Consider the following 24,214-nt stretch of genomic DNA (forward strand, 5'->3'; position numbering starts at 1 on the left):
TGTGTGGTTCTCCATGGCTTCAGAGCAACAGGGCTTGGGATGATGCAGCACTTGGCTTGCTTGGGTGGGGAGAACGTTGAGGTAGTTATGAATCACTTTGGGGTCAGTTCTTCCTTGCCAGGTCCTGTGCTGGGGCCCACAGGGAAATAACCCAGCCCCAGCCCTACTGAGCTCAGGAGAGTCTCCAGAGGCCTTCGCTGGCACAGGCCCCTACTGAAGGGCCCCCTAAAAGCACGCAGTGCCTGAGTGTGCCCTTTTGCATTAACTGTCTTACTACTTGCTAATAAGATATGCAAATTATCTGGGCTGTGAAATCTTAGCCACATTCCATCTTCTGTTTAATTAGCATTTAATTGTAATCTGGTTTTAATTTTTTCACACTGGCACCCTAATTAAATGTTAGGGTGTTAGTCCTAACAATTAAATTATATTGGCAAGTAAAGTCTTCAAGAAACTTGACCTTTTTCAAGCCAGGGCTGTCTCCATCTAGATGCAGACGTTAATTAGATTCTGCAAGATGCTGCTTCCAGGCCCCTCAGTCCATCCATTCCAGTGTTCTCCTTGTGGTTTTGGACCTAGATTCAAATGAGGTGCACATAGCAGGCAGAGGTTACTGCTGAATCTGTCTGTCATGAGCCTTCAGAAGGCTGAGTGAACTGACTTAGCACCGGGCACAGCGGTGGATGCTGACTTTTCCAGGGAGGAATGTGGGGTTGGAGTTTGGTCTCAGGCCTGGAGTACTCCTTGAAGTGGTTTCTCTTGTCTCAGTGATGTGAGTTCTTCTTTAACTTGTGATTCTCAAATGACGGTGATCACTGGGAAAGTTGGTACCTGAGCAAGTCACATGGTGTCTAGAGGTGCCACCACATTCCACAATAGCGCTTTGTGGGGGGATCACGCAGTGGGATCAGGTGACTGGGGCAGGAGGCGTTGCCAGTGCCAGCCCAGGCAGAGTTTAGAGCTTGTTCTGAGGTGGAACTGGGGGTGGAGGTGGGAGCAGCAGACAAAACTCTGGCAAGAGCAATTTGCCCCAAGTGAGCAAGTGCTCAGGGTGTGACCACTCATGGCTTTGCTCTGAGGGGTTTGGATGTGCTTGATTAAGAACAAAGACAACCCTCTCCTTCCTGCCTTCCTACCCCCCCTTCCCCAACACACACAAAGCCGGTCGAGTTAGGAGAGTGTCCTTGTTCTTGAGGGACCTTGGAAGTCCCAGCTCATGTGAAGCCACTATCTAGGCTGCCCTAAGCCCCGGCCGTCCCCCAGCTGTTTGCATAAGGTTTGCATAAGGCCTTTCCTGGGGTTGGCGCCCTGTGCTGTTTTATACCTCCACTTGTGTCTGGGGGTGCAGATAGATAACATGATTGTGAACCTCAGTGGAAATGTCTTGAACAGTCACGTAATGGCAGTATTTTTTATTTTATTTTATTTTATTTATTTTGTTTTGATCTTTTGAGACAGGGACTCACTGTCACTCAGGCTGGAGTGCAGTGGTGCAATCATGGCTCACTGCAGGGTTAACCTCCTGGGCTCAAGCAATCCTTCCACCTCAACCTCCAGAGTAGCTGGGACCCCAGGCATGTGCGACCACACCCAGCTACTTTTTAAATTTTTTGTAAAAATGAGGTTTCACCATGTTGCCCAGACTTGTCTCAAAATCCTGGATTCAAGCAGTCCTCCCTCCTCAGCCTCCCACAGTGCTGGGATTACAGGTGTGAGCCACCTTGCCTGGCCCTTTTTTTTTTTTTTAATTTTTTAATTTTTAGTAGAGGCTGGATCTTCCTGTGTTGCCCAGGCTGTCTTGAACTCCTGGCCTCAAGCAGTTATCCCACCTCAGCCTCCCAAAGTGTTGGGATTACAGGCATGAGCCACCATGCCCGGCCATCAGTATTGCTTTCACATTAGCCTCTCTGTCCTCTGAGGTTTTCCTCTTTTTATTTTGATTTTTGCCTTTCTCTGCCAGTCTTTCTTTCTCTCATAGGTCCACTCCCAACTATCCCTCAAACTCTGTCCTTTAATAGGTCAGAGCAGTGTGAATTCAGTTAATCACATTTATGGAACGTCTACTATGTGCAAAACATGTGCAGAGTTCAGAGCTATGTTATTTATTGTGCTGATTGCTTTTATTTCGTCTTATTTCTAAGTGCGCAGGCAGAATGTCCACTTGAGTTGCATGTATCTGCCTCTTCCTCTGGCCTGTGGGGCAGACTGCCCTGAGGCAGTCTGAAGTCACTCTTTCCCCTCTTGCCCCTCACAGGTTTTCCGGACAGACTTGATCACAGCCATGAAGATCCCGGACTCATACCAGCTCAGCCCGGATGACTACTACATCCTGGCAGACCCATGGCGACAGGAATGGGAGAAAGGTGTGCAGGTGCCTGCCGGGGCAGAGGCCATCCCAGAGCCCGTGGTGAGGTGAGCCAGGCAGCCCAGGCTAGGGGGCCATTGGGACAGGGGAGGAAGGGGAGGCTGCTTTCCAGGTTAGGTGACCTGCCAGTCCTGGAATTCCTTTCTAGTCCATCTCTATTCTGTATTCCATTCCCTTTTCCAACAAACCATTGAAATGTTCCAGAAATACTGGTGGTTTAACTGAGAGGCTAGGGGGTTGGGCTCGGGCTTGGCTATAGAGCCAGAATGCTTGCGTTCCTGTTGACACTCATATTCAGTGTGGCCTTAGACCAGAAATGTAATCTCTCTGGGCCTCAGTTTCCTTATCTATGAAATTGGAATGCTAACAATAACTAACCTACTCATGCAGTTGTAATGTTGAGATAATGGAATGAAATGACGCATGGAAGGCACTTGGCACCAGGCCTGGCAGACAGCAAGCACTCTGTAATGTTGATCCAAACTGGGCCCAACAGCAGTTCTTTTTTCTTTCTTTTTTTATTTGTTAGAAATAGGGTCTTACTCTGTCCCCCAGGCTGGAGTGCAGTGGTGCAGTCTTGGCCCACTGAAGCCTTGACCTCCCAGGTTCAAGCAGTCCTCCCACCTCAGCCTCCCAAGTAGCTAGGACTACAGGCTCATGCCACCACGCCTAGCTAATCTTCATGTTTTGTGTAGAGATGGGGATTTGCCATGTTGCCCGGGCTGATCTTGAACTCCTGGGCTCAAGCGATCTGTCCACCGCCTTGGCTGGCCTCCGAAAGTGCTGGGATTGCAGGTAGCCAGCCGTAAGCCTCTGGGCCTGGCCTTTTTTTTTTTTTTTTTTTTTTTTCTGACAAGGTCTCACTCTGTTACCCAGGCTGGAGTGCAGTGGTGCAATCTCAGCTCACTGCAGCCTCGACCTCCCAGCCTCAAGTGATCCTCCCACCATGGGCACATGCCACCACACATGGCTAATTTTTTTGATTGTTCGTAGAGACAAGGTCTTGCTATGTTGCTCAGGCTAGTCTCTAACTCCTGGGCTCAAGCAACCCTCCTGCCTCAGCCTCCCAAAATGCTGGGATTACAGGCATGAGCCACCATGCCCAGTCCCAAAGCAGTTCTGATGAGGGAAATCTCCAGACTTTTCACTAGTCTTTAAGAGAGAGATATGGCATGCTTTTTTTTTTCTTTTATTCTTTTCTTTTTTTTTTGAGACGGAGTCTCGCTCTTTCGCCAGGCTGGAGTAGAGTGGTGCGATCTTGGCTCACTGCAACCTCCGCCTCCCGGGTTCATGCGATTCTCCTGCCTCAGCCTCCCGAATAGCTGGGATGACAGGTGCGTGCCACCACGCCTGGCTAATTTTTGTATTTTTAGTAGAGGTGGGGTTTCCCCATGTTAGCCAGGCTGGTCTCGAGCTCCTGACCTCATGATCCGCCCTCCTCGGCCTCCCAAAGTGCTGGGATTGCAGGCGTGAGCCACTGCGCCCGGCCGTAAGCCATGCTTTTGACATCTTGAACCTTTTACGGGAGTTCTTAGAGGGGGAGTCAAGTGCCTGGCATACAGCAGATGTTCAGGAAGCCATTGCTATTACCGGCCTCTGGGTAGGTTCCCCTGCCAGGGCTGGTTCAGAGATGAGTCCTCTGGGCTTTATACTCTTCTGGTCTCATGAGGCAGAGAGACCCCTGGCCGCTCTTGTCAGGAGGAGGCCACATGGCCCTGGGTCTTGCCTCCAGCTACGGAGTTCAGCCAAGTGCTTCTTTATGCAACCTGGGAAACCCTCCAAGTCATGTCTCAGGGCAGAGGGGTCTTGTGTCCTGGCCTCCCCCACCCACCAGTCTGCCTGGTCTGGGCAGCTTGGGGTTTTGGCTGTCTACTCCTGGCCTTGGCAACCTTGTGGCTCTTGCTCGATCCCATGTAGACCAGGCCTGGGGCAAAGATCACAGCTGTTACCTCCCCTGACGTTGGCACCCTCATTTCGTGGCAGCTGCATCTGATTGGATCATAGGCACAGCAGACTCGAAGCCCCAATAGGGTGATCTGTGGGGATTGGAAGGGGAGGGGTCAGGCAATCCTGTTCCAGTGACTCCTGATGGCTGAGTGTTTATTAATACTTGTCTGGGGTCTTCGGAGAATCAGGGGTGCCCCAGGCCTCTCCAGAAGTGAGAATATGCATGCCAGGTCACTGCCACACATACCAGTGCCTAGGGTGAAGGGGTGAAGGTCAGGCCACCAGGTGGGCACAGCGAGGTCAGTCTTGATTAGGCTTGGCCCAGCGGTCTGTCCTCTCTACTTGATGTCAGTGTCATTTGGTTCCGGAAACATCTCCTGGCCTGGGTAATTAATTGCAGATGTTTCCACACCAGTAGCTTGGCTTCAGTCTGCCTGTAGGGTGCTTTATCTGTTGACATCAAGAGGAGGGCACGTGTTCCGGCTGCTTTGACTTTACGAGGTGCATTCCCAGCATAGGCATGGCTGTGCTAAGCTGACGTGAGCTGGGCACTCCTGGCCTGTCCGTGATCTTTGGAGAGGATGGACTGGGGGTGGGGAAGTGCTCCCTTAGAGACATCTCCACGCCTCTTCTGTTGCTATCTCCCTCCGGCCCAGCCACTGCATCCTCCTGGCACCTCCCACTGCACAGCCCTCATCTGGAAGGCTGCCTGGTAGCTGCCCGGGTCAGAATTGTTAGAGAAACCCTGTTCTTGAGGACTTGCTATGCTGAGCCTGTGTTCATCTTTTCATTTAACAATCATATTAGCTTTACAAACTGCATGTAACTGTCCCCATTTTATAGATGAGGAAGTCGGGAAATTCTGGGGAATTCCCTGCATGGCCACCGGGGCCTAGTGGGCTGGGCCAGGAAATCAAAGGCCCCGAGAACAAGCCCTGGGCTGCCCCTGTGAGGCCCAGAGACAGAGCCCTGTGCCCCCGTCATCCCAGCATGCTGGTTCTGGCTGCCCTCCCCCAGCTGCCACCCCAGGCCCCCTCTGTCCCTCCCTCCCTGGCCTTTGGGTGGGTCTGCCCACCTCATGGTCTGAAATCTGTCTGAACAATGAGCACTTGTCTCGCCCCTCTCCAGACTGAATTGAGTGAGGGCCTGTCCTGCCCCTCACTGGGGCCAGAAGTCTCAGCCAGGGCAGAACCCACCTCTGGTGTGTGTCTGGTCTTCTAGGGTAAAGACCCCCTCCCCTCCCATAGATCCCAGCCAGCTGACGCCCTCCTCCCAGCTGACCTCCGCCGTCCTGGCTACAGCTGAGGGTGAGGCCTTGGCCTAGGGTCAGGTCAGTCCATGCCTGGTAGGAGAGCTTCCTTCAGAGCCAGAGCCAGAAGGGGGCAAACAGATGAAGAGGAGAGACCCAGGAAGGACAGCAGATACCTTCTGATTGTGAGTCCCTTCACCTTGGCTCTTCAGAAGGAGCACAGTGATCTTGATCCCAAGAGGCTTGGCCAGGTGGCCGCTGACCAGGCAAGCAGATGTGGGTAGTTATGCCAGGAAGTGGTGGGCATCCGGACACCCCCACTCAGCATGTGCTTAGGGCACAATCAAAGCTGGTTCACAACCAAATTACAGGCTGCATTTTTAAAAGAATGTGTTTGTTAAGTAACAGTTTCATGGGGAAAGGCAGAATTGTGTTGGACCGAGTGTGTTAGTATTGCTTCCATATGGAATCACCTGTTAGTGTGGGGTGTGGTCATACCCTGATAATGACCTAGAACCTTCCTTCATGTGGGCCTCTTGTGTGGGAAAAGGTGGTGCCAAGCCCCTTCCCCTTCTCCGTGCCCCCTCGACCTTATATAGGCCTTCCTCCTGGCTCGGAGGCCATTCTCTCTGCCGGGTTGGGCCCCTGCCTCCCCGTCTCCTTCATCCTTCCTGCCCTTTTTGCTGACATTGGGTGTGGTGATGGGGAAGCCCAGGAGCCCTCGCCACAGCTCTGCCATGTCTCTGTGCCATCTAAAGCCCTGCCCCTTCCTCCCTGTCAGCGCTGAGTCACAGCTTCTGGCAGCCTTGCCCCCGACCCCAGGATGCCTCTCAAGTAAGGGGCCTCCCCGCCCTGGCAGAGCTGGCCAGATGGAGGCCAGGCTCCGAAGCAATAACCATGGCAACCAGCGGGGGGTGGGAAGAGCTGGCTTTTTGAACTGGCATCAGGAACTGAGGGGCAGCACACAGCTGAGCCAAGGGGAAACCGTGCCCTCCTGAGGCAAAGTGCCCCCTATATTCCATTTCAGGAGAGGGGTAACATCCCAAGGTCTCAACACACACACACACATCACACAACACACACACACACCACACACACACCTCACACATCACACAAAACACACCCCACACATACCACATGCACACACACACACATCACACAACACATACACACACACCACACACACACCTCACACATCACACAAAACACACCCCACACATACCACATGCACACACACACACATCACACAACACATACACACACACCACACACACACCTCACACATCACACAAAACACACCCCACACATACCACATGCACACACACACACATCACACAACACATACACACCACACACACACCTCACACATCACACAAAACACACCCCACACATACCACATGCACACGCACGCACACCACACACACACCTCACACATCACACAAAACACACTCCACACATACCACATGCACACACACACATCACACAGCACATACACGCACACACCACACACACCTCACACATCACACAAAACACACCCCACACATACCACATGCACACACACACATCACACAGCACACAACACATACACACACACCACACACACACCTCACACATCACACAAAACACACCCCACACATACCACATGCACACACACACATCACACAGCACATACACACACACCACACACACACCTCACACATCACATAAAACACACACACACCACACAAACACACACACACACACAGTGATTACTGTGTGTCAGGCATTTTCCTAAGAGTTTTGCAAACTTAATCCATTTAATCCTCTCACCAACCACATAAAGTAGGTATTATTATTGTTGTTATTATGATGATGATGATGATGATTATTATTTTTTTTGTTGTTGTTGTTTTCAAGCTTTTATTTTTTTATTTTTTTTTTTATTTTTTTTTTTTTCAGACAGAACCCATGCTCTTTATTAGATTATGTTGCCTATGTTTAAAAGTGTTCAAATTCAGTCTTTTACATTGAAAATAACTTTTTTTTTTTTTTTTAATTATACTCTAAGTTTTAGGGTACATGTGCACATTGTGCAGGTTTGTTACATATGTATACATGTGCCATGCTGGCGCGCTGCACCCACTAATGTGTCATCTAGCATTAGGTATATCTCCCAATGCTATCCCTCCCCCCTCCCCCGAACCCACCACAGTCCCCAGAGTGTGATATTCCCCTTCCTGTGTCCATGTGATCTCATTGTTCAATTCCCACCTATGAGTGAGAATATGCGGTGTTTGGTTTTTTGTTCTTGCGATAGTTTACTGAGAATGATGGTTTCCAATTTCATCTATGTCCCTACAAAGGATATGAACTCATCATTTTTTATGGCTGCATAGTATTCCATGGTGTATATGTGCCACATTTTCTTAATCCAGTCTATCATTGTTGGACATTTGGGTTGGTTCCAAGTCTTTGCTATTGTGAATAGTGCCGCAATAAACATACGTGTGCATGTGTCTTTATAGCAGCATGATTTATAGTCCTTTGGGTATATACCCAGTAATGGGATGGCTGGGTCAAATGGTATTTCTAGTTCTAGATCCCTGAGGAATCGCCACACTGACTTCCACAATGGTTGAACTAGTTTACAGTCCCACCAACAGTGTAAAAGTGTTCCTATTTCTCCACATCCTCTCCAGCACCTGTTGTTTCCTGACTTTTTAATGATTGCCATTCTAACTGGTGTGAGATGATATCTCATAGTGGTTTTGATTTGCATTTCTCTGATGGCCAGTGATGATGAGCATTTCTTCATGTGTTTTTTGGCTGCATAAATGTCTTCTTTTGAGAAGTGTCTGTTCATGTCCTTCGCCCACTTTTTGATGGGGTTGTTTGTTTTTTTCTTGTAAATTTGGTTGAGTTCATTGTAGATTCTGGATATTAGCCCTTTGTCAGATGAGTAGGTTGCGAAAATTTTCTCCCATGTTGTAGGTTGCCTGTTCACTCTCATGGTAGTTTCTTTTGCTGTGCAGAAGCTCTTTAGTTTAATTAGATCCCATTTGTCAATTTTGGCTTTTGTTGCCATTGCTTTTGGTGTTTTGGACATGAAGTCCTTGCCCACGCCTATGTCCTGAATGGTAATGCCTAGGTTTTCTTCTAGGGTTTTTATGGTTTTAGGTCTAACGTTTAAATCTTTAATCCAGATGATGATGATTATTGAGACGGAGCTTCGCTCTTGTTGCCCAGGCTGGAGTGCAGTGGCACGATCTCTGCTCACCACAGCCTCCGCCTCCCGGGTTCAAGCAATTCTTCTGCCTCAGCCTCCTAAGTAGCTGGGATTACAGGCATACACCACCACGCCTGGGTAATTTTGTATTTTTAGTAGAGATGGGGTTTCCTCATGTTGGTCAGGCTGGTCTCGAACTCCTCATCACAGGTGATTCACCCGCCTTGGACTCCCAAAATGCTGGGATTACAGGCATGAGCCACCACGCCCAGCCTGGTACTATTATTATTAACCCATTTTGGGGGATGGGAACACTGGGGCCCAGAGAAGTTTAGTGGCTTCCCCAGAGTCACACAATAAGTGGTGAAGCTGGGCTTTGAGTCCACACCCTGCGGGCAGGCCTCTCCAAGCTGCCTCAGCGGCAGAGCTGTGGCCACAAAGGAAGGCTGAGCTGGGGAGGGATCCTGGGACTGCAGCAGGCACATCTTTGTATCCAAGGGATTTGGCCTCTGTCTTGGTCCTGGGGCCGGGTAACACTGTGTAGCAGGACACTCACTGCTCACATGACATTGTATCTGGGAGAAGGGCAGGGTGGCATGTGGACCTTTTGTCTGGAAAGGGTCACCCTGGGCCGCAGCCGTGTAACCAGGTAGGGCTCCTCCTGACACCAGAGGAGACGTGGCCTCAGTTCTACTCAAGTCAATGGAGTTTTCAGGCTGTTGGTAAGAAGGGGGCTTGGGCTTCTGAGAGTACGTAGACAACCCCTGCCTTGTCCGCAGCCTTGAAGGGTATGCCGAAGGACCTAGAATCCAGCTGGCACTACCTCACTTGTTGCTGGCACAGGGCATTGCCCATGATGGCACATAGGATACCTCTTACAGGCCCTAGCAGTGTTAGATCCAAACTGCTGGGCTTTAGCTAAGGCCCCGCTACCCTGATGGCAGGAAGTGGGATGAGCTCTGGGCAGGTGGATGTTTATAGGGTAAGCAAGGCTGCGGATCAGCCCTGACTCCCATCCCCCACTGTGCCCTACTGCCCTTTGGGTTTTCTGTGTACTGCCTGTTCACCCACAGTCATCTGAGTCTCTGCAGGGTGGGCAGATGGTGGAGGAGGAAGTGAAGGAGGGGGTGGAAGGAGGTGGGCCCTGTGTGGTGTCAAAGCACACTTGTCCATCAGCTCCTGAGCTGGACTGGTCAGCTCCCTGGAGCCCCTATGGCGGCAGGCTGAGGGCCCCTCCCTTCATGACATCCTGTCTTGATTTTCTAGGATCCTCCCACCACTGGAAGGCCCCCCTGCCCAGGCATCCCCGAGCAGCACCATGCTTGGTGAGGGCTCCCAGCCTGATTGGCCAGGGGGCAGCCGCTATGACTTGGACGAGATTGATGCCTACTGGCTGGAGCTCATCAACTCGGAGCTTAAGGAGATGGGTAGGTGACCACTGCATTAAGAATGGGATCACGGCTGGGCAGGGAGGGTTTTCTCCCCATCCCGAGAGGGACAGTGGCCCAGGCAGGGCTATGGTATGGCATGGATCTGGAGGGAGTCTCCATACTGCATTACTGAATGGGGACCTCACTGGTTAGTGTCTCTGTGCCACCTGAAGTTTCTGCAGCTATCAGGTGGGGGCAATAATAGCACATCAGTTACAGGGCTCTTGGGACTATAGTGGTAAGCATGAATGTTACATGAAGAGTTAGTGAGCATGCAGGGGAGGCTAGGATGGCACATGGGGCTAGGGTCAGGATGGCAAATGGGGCTGGGGTCAGGAGGTGTGGGCCACCTGGCTGGAGCCCAATAATGTGTCCCAGGAAGGGTTAACTCGACCCTATTCAGCCACACTCAGAGGTCCCCTCATACACACAGCACAAGCAGTGCCTTCTCCGTGGAGCTGGCCGCATCCCAGAGACACTTCCATGTTAATTGTACACATGTGTCCCTGTGGTCACAGGCAGGCTGTCTAAAGTCAGAACTCCAGGACAGGTCAGGGGCCTTTGAGATGGGATGGTCCAGACCATTCAGTTTTCAGAGGATGGAGCTGCTTCTCCCAGGTCCAACAGTGGGTGGGCAGAAACCCTCCCAGACATCTGCCCTGAATTCCTGCAACTCCAGGAGCCAAGTCCTCTTCAAAGCTCAAAGGAGGCTGGGCTCCTAACACCACCATGCCCTGCTGTCCTCCTCACAGAGAGGCCGGAGCTGGACGAGCTGACATTAGAGCGTGTGCTGGAGGAGCTGGAGACCCTGTGCCACCAGAATATGGCCAGGGCCATTGAGACGCAGGAGGGGCTGGGCATCGAGTACGACGAGGATGTTGTCTGCGACGTGTGTCGCTCTCCTGAGGGCGAGGATGGCAACGAGATGGTCTTCTGTGACAAGTGCAACGTCTGTGTGCATCAGGTGGGCAGACCCCCCAGTCACCCTCACCTGTGCCATGTATACACACGCTGCCTGGCAGCGACCCCCACTTGGCTCTCCAGGGGCACTGTGGACAGAAGCCCTTAAGAAGGAGGAGGAAGGGAATGGTGAGGATGCTTCATGGTACCATGTGCACCCAGGGCCCCTTGGCTTAGACTTGCTGGCCAGACTCAAGCCAGAGCCCATTGGCTTTCTGCACTGTCCCATCAGCCTCCCTCAGACCCTCTCCACCTTGTGCCCTGTCCCTGCCCCTCCTCCTCTGCTCCTCATGTCCTGAATTTACTAAAAGGCAGCCCACTGCTGTGACTGAGAGCAAAGCTGCCAGATTTCAAATCGTGGCTCTGCCCTTCACAAGCTATGTAACTTTAGGCAAGTTTTGTAACCTCTCTGGGCCTGTGTTTTCTCAGTTATGCATAAATAAGAGTGGATTGTTGCACGGATTAAATTGTTTACTGTGGGTCTTTGCTTAGAACAGTCTAGTAAGGGCTATATGTATTTGTCACCATTACTGGCTTTATGTGCCAGTGCAGCCTGGCCAGGCTCCCCTTGGTTTGGGGCCCAAGGCTCTAGGTCTTGAGTATCTCTGGGCCTTGACTGCAGACCTGACTGGGACCTAGTGGACCCACTCTGGCCCTGATTTTGAGGCTGCCCTTATGCACCATCGCTGGAATTGACCCTGGGGAGCTCAGAGGTAGGGACTTTGCCAGGCTGGCAGGTAGGTGGGCAGTGCAAGTCTCATATAAACAAACACATCCCTTATACCCAGCAGCTCTTAGGTTCATGTGTCTCACCCAAGCCATAGAGGGGTGCAACCTTCTTCATGGGTCCCTGTGTAAGAAATATGAGGGCTCTGGGACTTGTTTCCAGGAAGTACACACCCAATTTTGTATTCAACTTAAAGGGATTCTTGGACTCTCCTTAAGTCTATTGCTGGTTAGGAACCTCCGGCTAAACTGACTCTCCTCCCAGCAGAGGGCAGACCTGAACCCGTTCACAGAGGACTGAAATGGTGGCATTTCAGGCATACAAGCAGGCCAAGGAGGGCTTTCCAGGAGCCCTTCCTTCCTTCCTTGCATTGTAACTCCTCAGAAGTTGTACGTGCCAGAGATGGGAGGCTGTGTAGCAGTGTAGCATGGGGCTGGCACTGGACCAAATGCAGCTGACTGCTGACCAGACACAGATTGGCCAGTTCCGCTGACTCATGACCACCCTGCTCTCTCCTAGGCATGCTACGGGATCCTCAAGGTGCCCACGGGCAGCTGGCTGTGCCGGACGTGTGCCCTGGGTGTCCAGCCAAAGTGCCTGCTCTGCCCCAAGCGAGGAGGAGCCTTGAAGCCCACTAGAAGTGGGACCAAGTGGGTGCATGTCAGCTGTGCCCTATGGATTCCTGAGGTGGGTGAGCGTGGAGGTGAGGCAGCCCAAGGAATAGCCCGTGGGGAAGTGGGTCTGCATGGGACTCAGGTAGCAGAGCACTGGGAAAAGAAGGTGATGGACTCGCACTAAAACACTGAGATCGGCCGGGCGCGGTGGCTCACGCCTGTAATCCCAGCATTTTGGGAGGCCGAGGTGGGTGGATCACCTGAGTTCAGGCATTCAAGACCAGCCTGGCCAACATAGCAAAACCCCCTCTCTACAAAAATTAGGAGTGCATGGTGGCAGGCACCTGTAGTCCCAGCTACTCAGGAGGCAGAGGCAGGAGAATCACTTGAACCTGGGAGTTGGAGGTTGCAGTGAACCGAGATCGCACCACTGCACTCCAGCCTGGGTGACAGAGCAAGACTCCGTCTGAAAAACAAAACAAAACAAAGCACACACTGGGATCTCAGGTGATGGGCCAGCAAAGAATCCAGGCCGCAGCTATAGGGAGCTTTGCTTGTGGACTTGGACAGAGCTCAGGTGGTGACTTCTATGAGAAAATGGGGTTAGGGACCGCTAGGAGATTTCAGGAGATAGGGATGAGGTCTGGACAGAAGTCAGGCAGCTGACTAGAGGGGAAAGCAGGTTGTGGGGTCCATCTAAACCTTAGCAGTTGTTCCAACCAAAGTCAAGCCACATGTTCAAAACAAAGATAAGCCAGCTGACCTTCAAAGAGAATCGGGTGGGAGGCCGAGGTGGGTGAATCACTTGAGGTGAGGAGTTCAAGACCAGCCTGGCCAACATGGTAACCCCGTCTCTACTAAAAATACAAAAAAAAAATTAGCTGGGCTTAGCACATGCCTGTAATCCCAGTTATTTGGGTGGCTGAGGCACGAGAATCACTTGAACCCGAGAGACAGAGATTGCAGTGAGCCGAGATCGCGCCACTGCACTCCTGCCTGGGTAACAGAATGAGACTGTTTAAAAAAAAAAAAAAAGAGAATCAGGTGGTAAGCCTAATGGGAAGTTGGCTAGTGGGCCTGCTGCTATGGCTGCGGCTAGGATGGTGGGGTGGGTGTGTTTCTGAGTCCATGTGGGAGTGCCACGGGCAACAGGCTGGGTCCAGAGTCAGTGAGTTAGCAGAGGTCCTGGGTGCCTGGCAGGCCAGCCATTTTATTTGAAATGTGAAATGTTGAAATGCACCAGAGTTTCAGCCCCAGCCCTGCTGTGTGGACTGACTCAGATTGAGGCCCCACTCCAGTGTTGCCTGTGCCCAGAAGCAAGCCAGGTGGCCCTGTCCATAAGTGGCACTCTCCTTCCTGGGCTCACAGTCTGAAGCCCACAATGCGGGCTTCTGTGATAACAGTTGTTTGTGTCAGCAGTAGGCACTTGCTTGCAGATCAGCATGTTGAAGACTGGGACCACCTCTGAGTGTACCCTGGGCTGGGCATGGCAGAGACAGAACCAACAGGGACTCCATCATGAAGACCCTTTGGCTCAGGACCTTTGGAGAGAATTGCTTTTTCCATCCTCAGGCATTAGCAATGGGGAGACAAATGTGCCCTGCCTCTGGGCTGTGGGGTGGTCTCTGCCCAGTAGACTTGGGCATAGTTGTAGGGCTGTCCCCATAGGAAGGGCTCAGCAAAGGCATATCCCCAGGAGAGCCCTAAAGACCTTCAAGAGGAGATCCCACAATGAGGCTTTTCTTGGTGCCTAGAAAAATAAGTAATACAAATACAAATCGTAACAAGAACTCTGAAGATGTTATTAACAAAGGCCTGAGTGCAGAAAGAAGGAGGATCTTGCATGTACCTATGCGCACACCAAAGCACCTGTCTGTCAAGGCCCACGCAGTCTTAAGCACATACACACAGTCAACTACACACACTGACGGCACACTCACACATTCACAGACAATTTAAGATTAGTCTCAGATGAGCACACACTAACACACTCATCCAGTGGTGAGCTTGGGAGAGTGAGGAGGAATTCCGGCCTTTGAGCCATGCTTGTTTGGTGTCAGGAGGGACTTGGGATTCAGGGGCTCAGCCACTGCCCTGTCTGCCCACCACCTAGTTTCAGCAGACAAACCCCCATTTTGGAGATCCCTGGAGGCAGGCTGGGGATGAGAGGAATGATGCAGCCCCCTGTGTCCTGCCCAGGTCAGCATCGGCTGCCCAGAGAAGATGGAGCCCATCACCAAGATCTCGCATATCCCAGCCAGCCGCTGGGCTCTGTCCTGCAGCCTCTGCAAGGAATGCACAGGCACCTGCATCCAGGTATGTGGCCTACTTCACCTCCTGCTGCCAGGAGCTGGCTGAGAGGCATGCTTGGGGCCTCAGACAGCAGCTGCCACCACCTTCTCCCCTCCATGGGGCTGCAGACTGATGGGCCCCAGAGGGGTGTGGGACTGGGGCCAGAGTCAGAATCGCACCTGTTGGGGAGCATTTCTCCATCCCCTGGTCTTCTAGGGAGTGGGAACAGACCCGGGGAACCAAGGCTCACCACCCCATTGGAGTGCTGAGAACTCTGGCTTTCCCTGAAAGCAAGTGTCTTGGGGCTTGATGAATACATTAGCCTCACTTCTGACATTGAATTTGACGCGTTAGGGGTTAGGAATCAAACTTCTCATCTAGCTAAGCTAATAGACTGTCCTGACACTGGAAGGGCTGTACCAGTCTGTCTTTAGCAAAGCCTATTCCCAAAGTCTAGCATGCGTCAGAATTACCTGGAGGGCTTGGTAAACATAGACTGCTGGGCCTACTCCTGAGAGGCTCTGACTCAGTAGGTCTGGAGTGAAGCTGAGAACTTGCATTTCTAACAAGCTCCCAAGGGATGTTGATGCCTCAGGTCTATAGTTTGGGAGTGCAGGGGGGAGTCATCCTTTGTCCCCCTCATCTTTTAGGAACAGAGTTGTCATTGTAAACGTTAGTTGTGCCTTCACCCATCCACGGACCTTCAAAAGGATTTGTGAGTGCAGCATCAGCAGTCATAATAGTTGGGTGCGTGATTGCTGACACAGTTATCATCATCCAAGGCTAAGAGAGAGGGTCAGGCCTCAAGCTGTCTGGATGAAAGGAGAGGGAAGGGGACTAAGTCCAGCCCCTCTTCCCAGAGGACAAAAAGGGGACCACAGTCCCCATCTTAGATGAGCCAGTGACCCATCATCAGCCTTTCTCTTGATGCTCTGTGATGCCAAAGTCATTTTGCCCACACAAAAATGCAGCTTGAGGCCAGGCACGGTGGCTCACGCCTGTAATCCCAGCACTTTGGGAGGCCGAGGCAGGTGGATCACCTGAGGTCAGGAGTTCGAGACCAGCCTGGCCAACATGGCGAAACCTCATCTCTAAAAATACAAAAACTAGGTGGTGCATGCCTGTAGCCCTAGCTACTTGGGAGGCTGAGGCAGGAGAATCGCTTGAACCTGGGAAGCGGAGGTTGCGGTGAGATGGAACCACTGCACTCCAGCCTAGCAACAGAGTGAGACTCTGTCTCAAAAAAAAAAAAATGCAGCTTGTCCCCAGAGGTGTTTCTCAACCGTCTTCTGATTGACTTCCCCAAAGCATGTGGTGTTGAATGGGTTACCTTTCCAGGCACCCCAGAGCTCCTCCTCCTCCCCTGCCGTAACTCCCATCCTGCACAGGAGGTTGGGAGCCCATGCCATTCTGTTTAGGTTCTCTCCAGCATTGCGCATTCTCAGTAGAGCCCTGGGGGAAGCCCCTCTGTCTTCTCCCCTCCCACCAGGCTCCCTCCATGTCTGATCCTGCCCCTCCTTTCCCCTCAGTGTTCCATGCCTTCCTGCGTCACAGCGTTCCATGTCACATGCGCCTTTGACCACGGCCTGGAAATGCGGACTATATTAGCAGACAACGATGAGGTCAAGTTCAAGTCATTCTGCCAGGAGCACAGTGACGGGGGCCCACGTAATGAGCCCACATCTGAGCCCACGGAACCCAGCCAGGCTGGCGAGGACCTGGAAAAGGTGACCCTGCGCAAGCAGCGGCTGCAGCAGCTAGAGGAGGACTTCTACGAGCTGGTGGAGCCGGCTGAGGTGGCTGAGCGGCTGGACCTGGCTGAGGCACTGGTCGACTTCATCTACCAGTACTGGAAGCTGAAGAGGAAAGCCAATGCCAACCAGCCGCTGCTGACCCCCAAGACCGACGAGGTGGACAACCTGGCCCAGCAGGAGCAGGACGTCCTCTACCGCCGCCTGAAGCTCTTCACCCATCTGCGGCAGGACCTAGAGAGGGTGAGTCCCCATGCCGCCTGCCCACCCCCTGCCTGGTGGGTCCAGGAGTCCTTTCCATGCCACACTCACTGCCCTGGAGCAGCTAGGACTCACCAGGACTCAAACTGTGAGCTCTGGTGGACCGGCCCTGCTGCAGGAGCCTGCCAAGGGGCTGAGGGCTTTCAGGTCCCAAAGAGTATGGGGGTGACTGACACTTTACAGAACAGAGAAGAGTCCAGTTCTTGAGTCTCCGAGTCCCTCTTGTCCTAGCCCTGTCACAGGCCTGGTGAATGGTGGGGGCCCTGCCAAGGTCATGAGGCTGAGAGCACCAGAGCTAGGGCGAGGACCTAGGCTTCTGGCACTTGCTTGCCTCTGTGGGCCCCGCCTGGTCCTAACACATGAGCTTGCATTGAGAATCTGAGGCAGAGGAGGAACTGGAGCTTCCCAAGCTGTCCCCGTAACCCATGCTGAAAGCCAGGGGCATCAAGAGCCAGGAGCAGCCAAACAGGCACGTGCCGGGCCAGGGCAGGGTAGATGGGTAAACGCGGCTCCGTGGGGTGCTGGGCAAACAGAACAGAGGCACGAAGGAGACAGGGTGGACTCAAGGAACGGTGGAGTGGAAGGAAGAGGTGAAAGGGGCTGGTGGATCGCACGAGACTGGGCTGGTGGATCACAGTGTGTCTGGAAGCTGCAGAAGTGCTAAGGAGGGACTGACATACTGTGGCTGGGACTTGCACCCAACACTCCCTGGAGGAGAAGTCCCAGAGTCTGGAATGGGTGGGCTGGCTGAAAACCACCCCCAGCTGTGTGCTGGGAAACAGGTGACGGTGGCTTGGTCCAGGGGGCTGAGTGAAATGAAGCAGGATTTCTGGATCCTTTTCCAGTCCTCTGAACCCCACAGGCTGTTCTGGTCTCTCCTCTCTGGGACATTTCTAGGGTTCCAGAGCATATGGGACCGTGTCACAGTGTCTCCCCTGGGTTCAGACATACATGCTCACCCTCTCCCTGGGTCCTGTCAGGAAATAGCCCTGGGCAGGAGCATGCAGGGAACGTTGTGTGACCCAAGGCGCCTGCTTTTCTTATCTGCATCGCAGTGGGCAAGGCTGTAAAATGGGTAGAACATCTCCAGGGGTGTTGTACTGTCAGGGAAGGGGCACTGGACCCAGCTTCCCCAATCCCCTCCTTCCCACTCATCTGCGCTGCCTGCTCAAGAGGGAAATGACCTATTGCCCCCAGAGAGCCCTCACTGCCTGGCAGCCAGCTTGCCACCAGGCCAGAAGGAAGAGGTGGAGGTGGGAGGAACCAGATGTCCCTGGCTCCAGCCAGGACAGAGGGCAAGGCTACCTACATTGCAGCCACCACCTCCTGGCCAGCCCAGCCTCCTGTCACATGTGGCAGGGGCATCAGGTGTAAGACCTTCTGGGACCGAAGCTGCTTCCAGAGTCTTCTTTAGGCCACCATGTCTCCACCCGCTGGATCTCCAGTGGAAACACCTGCTTTTACTCCTACTGTTTCCCAAACAACCCCTCAGAACTGACCTCTCTGTTCTGTGCTGGTCAGCCCATGTGTCTGTCCCTGGCTGGGTTGTCCAGGGAGGTCAAGGGCTTGACTCACTTATGTAGTCATCATCCTGGAAAAAGAGACTTGAGGAAGATCCTCCCAGCCCTGCTGAGCAGATGAGGAAACTGGGGCTCGGAGAGACGAATAACAGGAAGTCTTAGAGGAACTCCATTCCAAGGGTTTTGAGCTTGAATTTGGACCTCAGTCGGGGGCAGAAAAGGAGTTGTTGGCTTATTCTCTATTCTGTAAATTTCCTGGGCAAAAGCATCCCTTTTTCAGTCCCCTAATCTTCCCACCCCAGTGTTGGCTGGTTCAGGTGGAGCCTGGGGCTGAGGTTGGCGGGCTCTGGGGTTCCGGGGAATGAGAGCTGCTGCAGAGACTCCTGCAGTGGGAGCCAGAACACTCCAGAGTCAGGTGTGAACCGTCCCACTCCTCCTCTGGGAAGAGGAAGCAGGGCCAATTTTGAAGTATGTGCAGCCTCTTACGGCTCAGGGGGCCCTGTCAAATGCTGCTTTCTGAGCAGCCACCAAGCTGGGCTGGCGGGCACCAGCTTCAATGAGGGCAGGGGCATGCACAGCCCTGGCAGGGCCGAGGAGGGACAACCATGAGCCAAGCTGACCCCCATCAGCGGCCCAGCCTCAAGGCCTTTCCAGGTCACACATTTGCAACTTGGGTGAATGAACAGCGACAAGAACCCTGCCACGGGGCAGGCTTTCTGCAAAGGCCCATGGTGGTTGGTGGCCTGGCCAGCGGGCCCAGTCTCGGACCGTGGCCCAGTGCCAGCAGCCGGGAGTATCCAGCCTGTAACTGGGCACTAAGCCAGCCTGGGCAGGAATCATCGGAAGATGGGGCAGGGCTTGAGGTCGAGGCCTTGGTAGCCTGACTTTGCATCCAGTTCCTGCACTCCCAGCTCTATACCTTCTTTGTTTCAGTTTCTACTTCTCTGAGTTTCAGTTTCTTTGTCTGTAAAATGGGAATAAGGATCAGACTGACCTTGGGGTCACAGTGCATGTGGGGGACAAAGCTTAGCACAGTGCCCTCCATTGTTGGCCGTGATTGTTGTTACTGTCCTGGCCCCTCAGCATTTGGCTCTTAGAAGAAGGGAGGCCAGCCCGTGCGCTCTGAGGGTGGGCTCCACAGAGGACCAAAAGGGCAGGCCCAGTGCTAGGGCCTGGGAACCCAGCATCCTCCCAGATTGATTCGTTCCTCCTCAGCCAGGCAGGGGTTTTGCTGAGAGAAACAGGAGCCGGGGCTGCTGCCGGCATGAAATCCCATTTTATGGTCAACCAGATGTGCTTTCCTAAAATTTCAGCCTTGGGCCTCGGCCCCAGCGGACGCTCGGAAGGCATGGCCACTGCAGCCTCCCAGAGTTATTTACGGCTGACAAAAATCGCAGCACTGTTGATCAGCCCGACAAGTGCCGGCTGGTGTCCCCTAGCAACCGTGCTGACAAGCAGGCTGTGCAGGGACTTGCTGCTTGTGGCTCTGGCTCTGGTCACCAGGAGTTTATTTGGGAGCCTGACCTGGCCTGAGGAGGAGGCCAAGAGGGTGGAGGCGGCTCTGAGACACACACCTGCCCAGAGGATGATATGGGACAACTTCCCAAGGAGGGAAAGGCTCAGAAGGAAGTGGGTCCTGGCCTCAGTGCCTGGATGGTGGTCCCTTTGGCCTCCCACCAAAGCCAACCTTGTCCTGGGCAGCTCCAGCCTGCAGACCTCTGGCTCTTCTGCCCCTGTGCCTTCCATCTCTAGGGCTCCCCCAACCCATTAGTGCCCTTGCCTCACCCAAGCCCAGTCACCACCTCCAGCTGCTCCCAGGTCAGTAGCCCAGAAATTGCCACATCCTGCTCCGTGCCTGCAGTCTACTGCTCTCCCTGCTCACTTGTCTCCCAGGCCCTCCACCCTTCTTTGTCCTGCTTTCTTCACTCACTCCCTGTATGGCACTGGCCTGCTATGCCCCAGCCCTTGTCCCTCACTGAGGCCAGAACCCTGGCAGAGCCTCACCCAGTAAGAGCCACTCCCTCCACCAGGAGAAATCCCATAGCGCTGAGCAGGGCAGTCCCTGCCGCACACCCCACCTCATACCTGCTGCCCACATGCTGAGCCCTGCCTCCCTCAGGACAGCGTCCCCTCTGTCCTCATACCAGGGCCTCTAACTTCTGCCAGCCGAGCCTCTCGGTCCATTCTCTTCCCTTCCCTCCTGTCTTCCTTCCCCCACAGGGGCTCTTTTCCAGCCCACACCTGCAGCTGACGAGTCTGTCTTTTCTTCATCCCCTCTGCGGGTCCTTTTCCACCAATATTTGAATCTGTTCAACCCTCTCTCATCTTCAAAAGCGAATCCTCCCTCCCTATTTCCCTCTAGTCGTGGGTTCCTCCGCTCCCACCCCCATCTCTCCTTTCCTGTCATCCCTCATGGTATTTGCATCCTTGCTGCCCACTCTGGCCGGGTTTCCGCCACATCCCAGAGCCTGCCACCTGGGCTGCCTGCAGCCTCCCTGCCCACCTCTCCATCCCCCGATCCTCTCAGCAGCGGCTGCCACAATCAGACCTGCCCTTAGTCTTGGAGTCCTTTTTCTGTGATGCTCTGACCAGGTCCCCCCTGAGGTCCTGGTTTACCCCCCTCCCTCTCTGGCTGCTCCTTGGCCTCAATGGTCATCCATTGCTCTCCCCTGACTGCTCACTCCCAGGGCTGGAGACCTCAGGCTCCACTGTCTTTCACGGCTGCCCACAGTTTTGCCCCACGTGGGGGTGCTGGCTGCCCCTCCCTTTTGAGCTCCACACCAAGTCCCTTTTAAAGGCCACCGGCATCTCATGCCCAGCATCCCTGTTAGTTTCCTAGGCCTGCCCGTGTGCCACCAGCTGGATGGTGAGATTTATCCTCATGGTTTTGGAGGCTGGAAGCCCAAGGTTGAGGTGTCAGCAGGATTAGTTCCTGCCGGAGGCTCTGCGGGGGAGTCTCTCCGTGCCTCCCAGCTTCTGGTGGTTGCCAGGAATCTTTGCTGTTCCTTGGCCTGCGGACATCTGTCTGGCCTCTGCCTCTGCCAGGTCACATGGCCTTCTCCCTGTAGGCACCTGTGTCAGGACTCCACTCATAGTAGATCAAGGGCCCACCCTAATGTAGTATGACCTCATCTTAACTATTTATATCTACAGAGACTCTATTTCCAAATAAGGTCACATTGCAAGGGTCCCAGTAAAAATGAATTTGGGGGAACACTATTCAATCCCGTACAGAAGCCACTGGAGGTTTTAAGGGGAGAAGGGAAGTGTCTCACTACTCTGTGAAAATCCAGCCCTGGGCCGGGCGCGGTGGCTCACGCCTGTAATCCCAGAACTTTGGGAGGCCAAGGTGGGCGGATCAGGAGGTCAGGAGTTCAAGACTAGCCTGGCCAACATGGTGAAACCCCATCTCTACTAAAAATACAAAAATTAGCCAGGTGTGGTGGCAGGCACCTGTAATCCCAGCTACGTGGGAGGCTGAGGCAGGAGAATGGCTTCAACCCGGGAGGCCGAGGTTGCAGTGAGCCAAGACTGTGCCACTGCGCTCCAGCCTAGGCGACAGACCGAGACCCCGTCTCGAAAGAAAAAAAAGAAAATCCAATCCTGGCTTCCCTTGGCCTGGCTCAGTCAAGCTTCAGCACCTGGCCTCCTCCCTTGCCAGCCCCGACACTCCTCACTGCTCCCTTCAGATTCCTGCCACGAGGCTCTGCTCTGCCTCCCCCAGCCTGGCCTGGCTTGGATTCCTCGTTCCCAGGCTCTGCCCTGCCGTGTGATCAACTCCCACTCCCACTGGCTGCTTGTGTGTCCAAGACGCCTTGCTCAGCACCCCCAAGTGTGGGTCGGAGCCACCTGGTCCTGTCAGTAGTTGGTCAGCACCTACCTCCCCTGAGAAGAAAGGGGCCCCAGCGGCGTTGCTCACTTGAGTCCAGGGCCCCACACAGTGCAAGTCCACAGAGCTGTAGCCAGTGCTTAAGGGTGTGGGGGAAGGAGGCTGGTTGGAAGGTGGTTTTCAGGAGGTCCAAGTTTTGACAGGAAGGTGGTTCATCCCAGTAGGGTGGGACCGGTGGTTGCAGCCCAGGGTGGCCCCCCGGAGTGGTACTGGCCATAGGGATAGGCGGAGCTGAGGCTCAGAGGTGGGTGGCCTGGTGCTCACGGTCTTCGAGCTGAGGGCGCACACACCAGCGTGGAAGGCCACGGAGAGTCCATGCAGAGCACATCGTGTGGAGGCCTGAGGCTGGAGCCACCTTTGTGGTACATCCTTCACGGCTGGGCTCAGGAAAGAACGGAGGATACCCGTACGCAGAAGAGAGGTCTGATCTTGGCTGCCCTCGGACTGGGAGAAATGGTTATGCCAACAGGCAGGGGGTCTGGAACCAGAGGTCACCCCAGCTTAAGGACATGAAGGCTGAACTCAGCCTTGAAGATGGAACCCAACGGGAAACAGCCTGGTCCCAGCTGGAAAGACCCTGGTGGGACCCAGGATTCAAGCTGAGCAGCTTTGGCCAACTGTCCCTGATAATGGAGTCTCCATCCTGTGCTGAAGACCAAGGAAGTGTCTCAAGGGAGGGGGCTTGGTCTTGGCTTCAGAAGTGTGGCCTGCCCTGAGAGCAGCCAGGGAGGGATGGCCCACTGGGGTAAGGTGCCAGGTGGGCAGGCAGTAGCATGGTCCATCCTGCAGGTGCTTCCTGTGGGACCACCTATAAGAAGGGTCCATGTCCCATGAGCTTAGCAAGCTGGTGTCTAAGGCCCCAAGGGGCTCTTCCCAGCTGGCCTTGAGGCAGTCAGAGAGGCCTCTACCCTCTCTGCTGAGGAGTTCTGTCACTGTGGCAGAGTGAAGGTGGCTGTGTAGATGTGGAAGCCTTGGCCAGCATGGCGTGAGCCTGGCTCAGGTCCCAGTGCAGCGGATAGACATGGGTTGGCTGCAGGCTGGGCACAGGTGGGTTAGGACTTTCTGCTCAAAGCTCTTCCAATGGCGTTCTCTCTGGCTGCAAGTACCGGGGCCATTTGTGGCTCAGGACAAGTGTTAGTTTTTGCCATGCCATTTATGTCTGAAGAATTTCTTTGCTGGGAAAGAAAGGCCTTGGACAGGAGGCAGAGGGATGAGGTTGGTGACCTGGTGAGACCCTGATGAGTCTGCGGGCACTGTGGTTATAAAGGACAGCAACCATGTTGGCAGGGCCTTGGGAGGCAGCCTGGCTGACCTTACCAGGAAGGTAAGACTCAGAGGAGGAAGGTGGGCATGCCGGGTTGACCTAACCAGATGCTTTTCCCTGGCTGCTCTGGCTCAGCCGGGGACCACAGGGCTGAGGCTGTGTTTGGCCTTAGGTTTTGGATCCGAGACATGCAGCACAGGGCTGAGGATGCGCTCAGGGTCTGGGAATTGTTTTGCAGATGTTCTGGGCAGGATAGGCTGTGGCGGTAGCCTGTGCCCCTGGCACTGCCTCCACCCATAGCAAGGTCCCCAGAGCTGGGAGGTCTGGGGTGGTTGCCTGTGAGTAAGGTGGAAAATCTCTCTTGTTTTCTCAGGTTAGAAATCTGTGCTACATGGTGACAAGGCGCGAGAGAACGAAACACGCCATCTGCAAACTCCAGGAGCAGATATTCCACCTGCAGATGAAACTTATTGAACAGGATCTGTGTCGAGGTAGGCGCCTTCCCCACCTGCCGCCGCCACCTCCCTGTGCCCTCTCTTGCGGGGCTGGGTCCCAAGGAGGGTGTGTCTTTGGATCCTGGTGGGGGTATGTGCGTGGAGCCAAGGGCCACTGGCCCCCACTCCTACCCTTCACCATCCAATTAGTAGGCCCAGACGGGGGCCTGCAAGGGTCCTGAGTTGTGCGTCACTAGGCAGAGAGCCAGAGGTTGGAATGTGGGCATCAGGCCTGCCCTCAGGGAG

The 24,214-nt window shown here is 53.9% G+C and overlaps 1 protein-coding gene across 26 annotated transcripts in view, besides 2 other annotated features; it reads left to right on the forward strand.

Annotated features, from left to right (window-relative positions):
• The window catches only part of JADE2 (jade family PHD finger 2), a 59,219-nt gene that overhangs the window by 25,789 nt on the left and 9,216 nt on the right, over positions 1-24,214 (forward strand). For all 26 annotated transcript variants that reach the window (NM_001437916.1, NM_001437914.1, NM_001437915.1 and 23 more), the window contains 7 exons: positions 2,255-2,412; positions 10,033-10,193; positions 10,949-11,160; positions 12,403-12,570; positions 14,697-14,813; positions 16,319-16,783; positions 23,848-23,965. In NM_001437916.1, the coding sequence (NP_001424845.1) occupies positions 2,255-2,412; positions 10,033-10,193; positions 10,949-11,160; positions 12,403-12,570; positions 14,697-14,813; positions 16,319-16,783; positions 23,848-23,965 (1,399 nt within the window). The remainder of the gene's footprint in view (positions 1-2,254; positions 2,413-10,032; positions 10,194-10,948; positions 11,161-12,402; positions 12,571-14,696; positions 14,814-16,318; positions 16,784-23,847; positions 23,966-24,214) is intronic.
• Positions 4,732-5,251: an enhancer, noted in NCBI's record as "active region_23155". NCBI's record gives its function as "activates an Ori minimal core promoter by ATAC-STARR-seq in GM12878 lymphoblastoid cells {active_cell/tissue: GM12878}" and the evidence as "EXISTENCE:reporter gene assay evidence [ECO:0000049][PMID:35858748]".
• Positions 5,322-5,421: a silencer, noted in NCBI's record as "silent region_16365". NCBI's record gives its function as "represses an Ori minimal core promoter by ATAC-STARR-seq in GM12878 lymphoblastoid cells {active_cell/tissue: GM12878}" and the evidence as "EXISTENCE:reporter gene assay evidence [ECO:0000049][PMID:35858748]".

This window comes from Homo sapiens, chromosome 5 (genome assembly GCF_000001405.40).
Source record: "Homo sapiens chromosome 5, GRCh38.p14 Primary Assembly".
Classification (NCBI taxonomy): domain Eukaryota; kingdom Metazoa; phylum Chordata; class Mammalia; order Primates; family Hominidae; genus Homo; species Homo sapiens.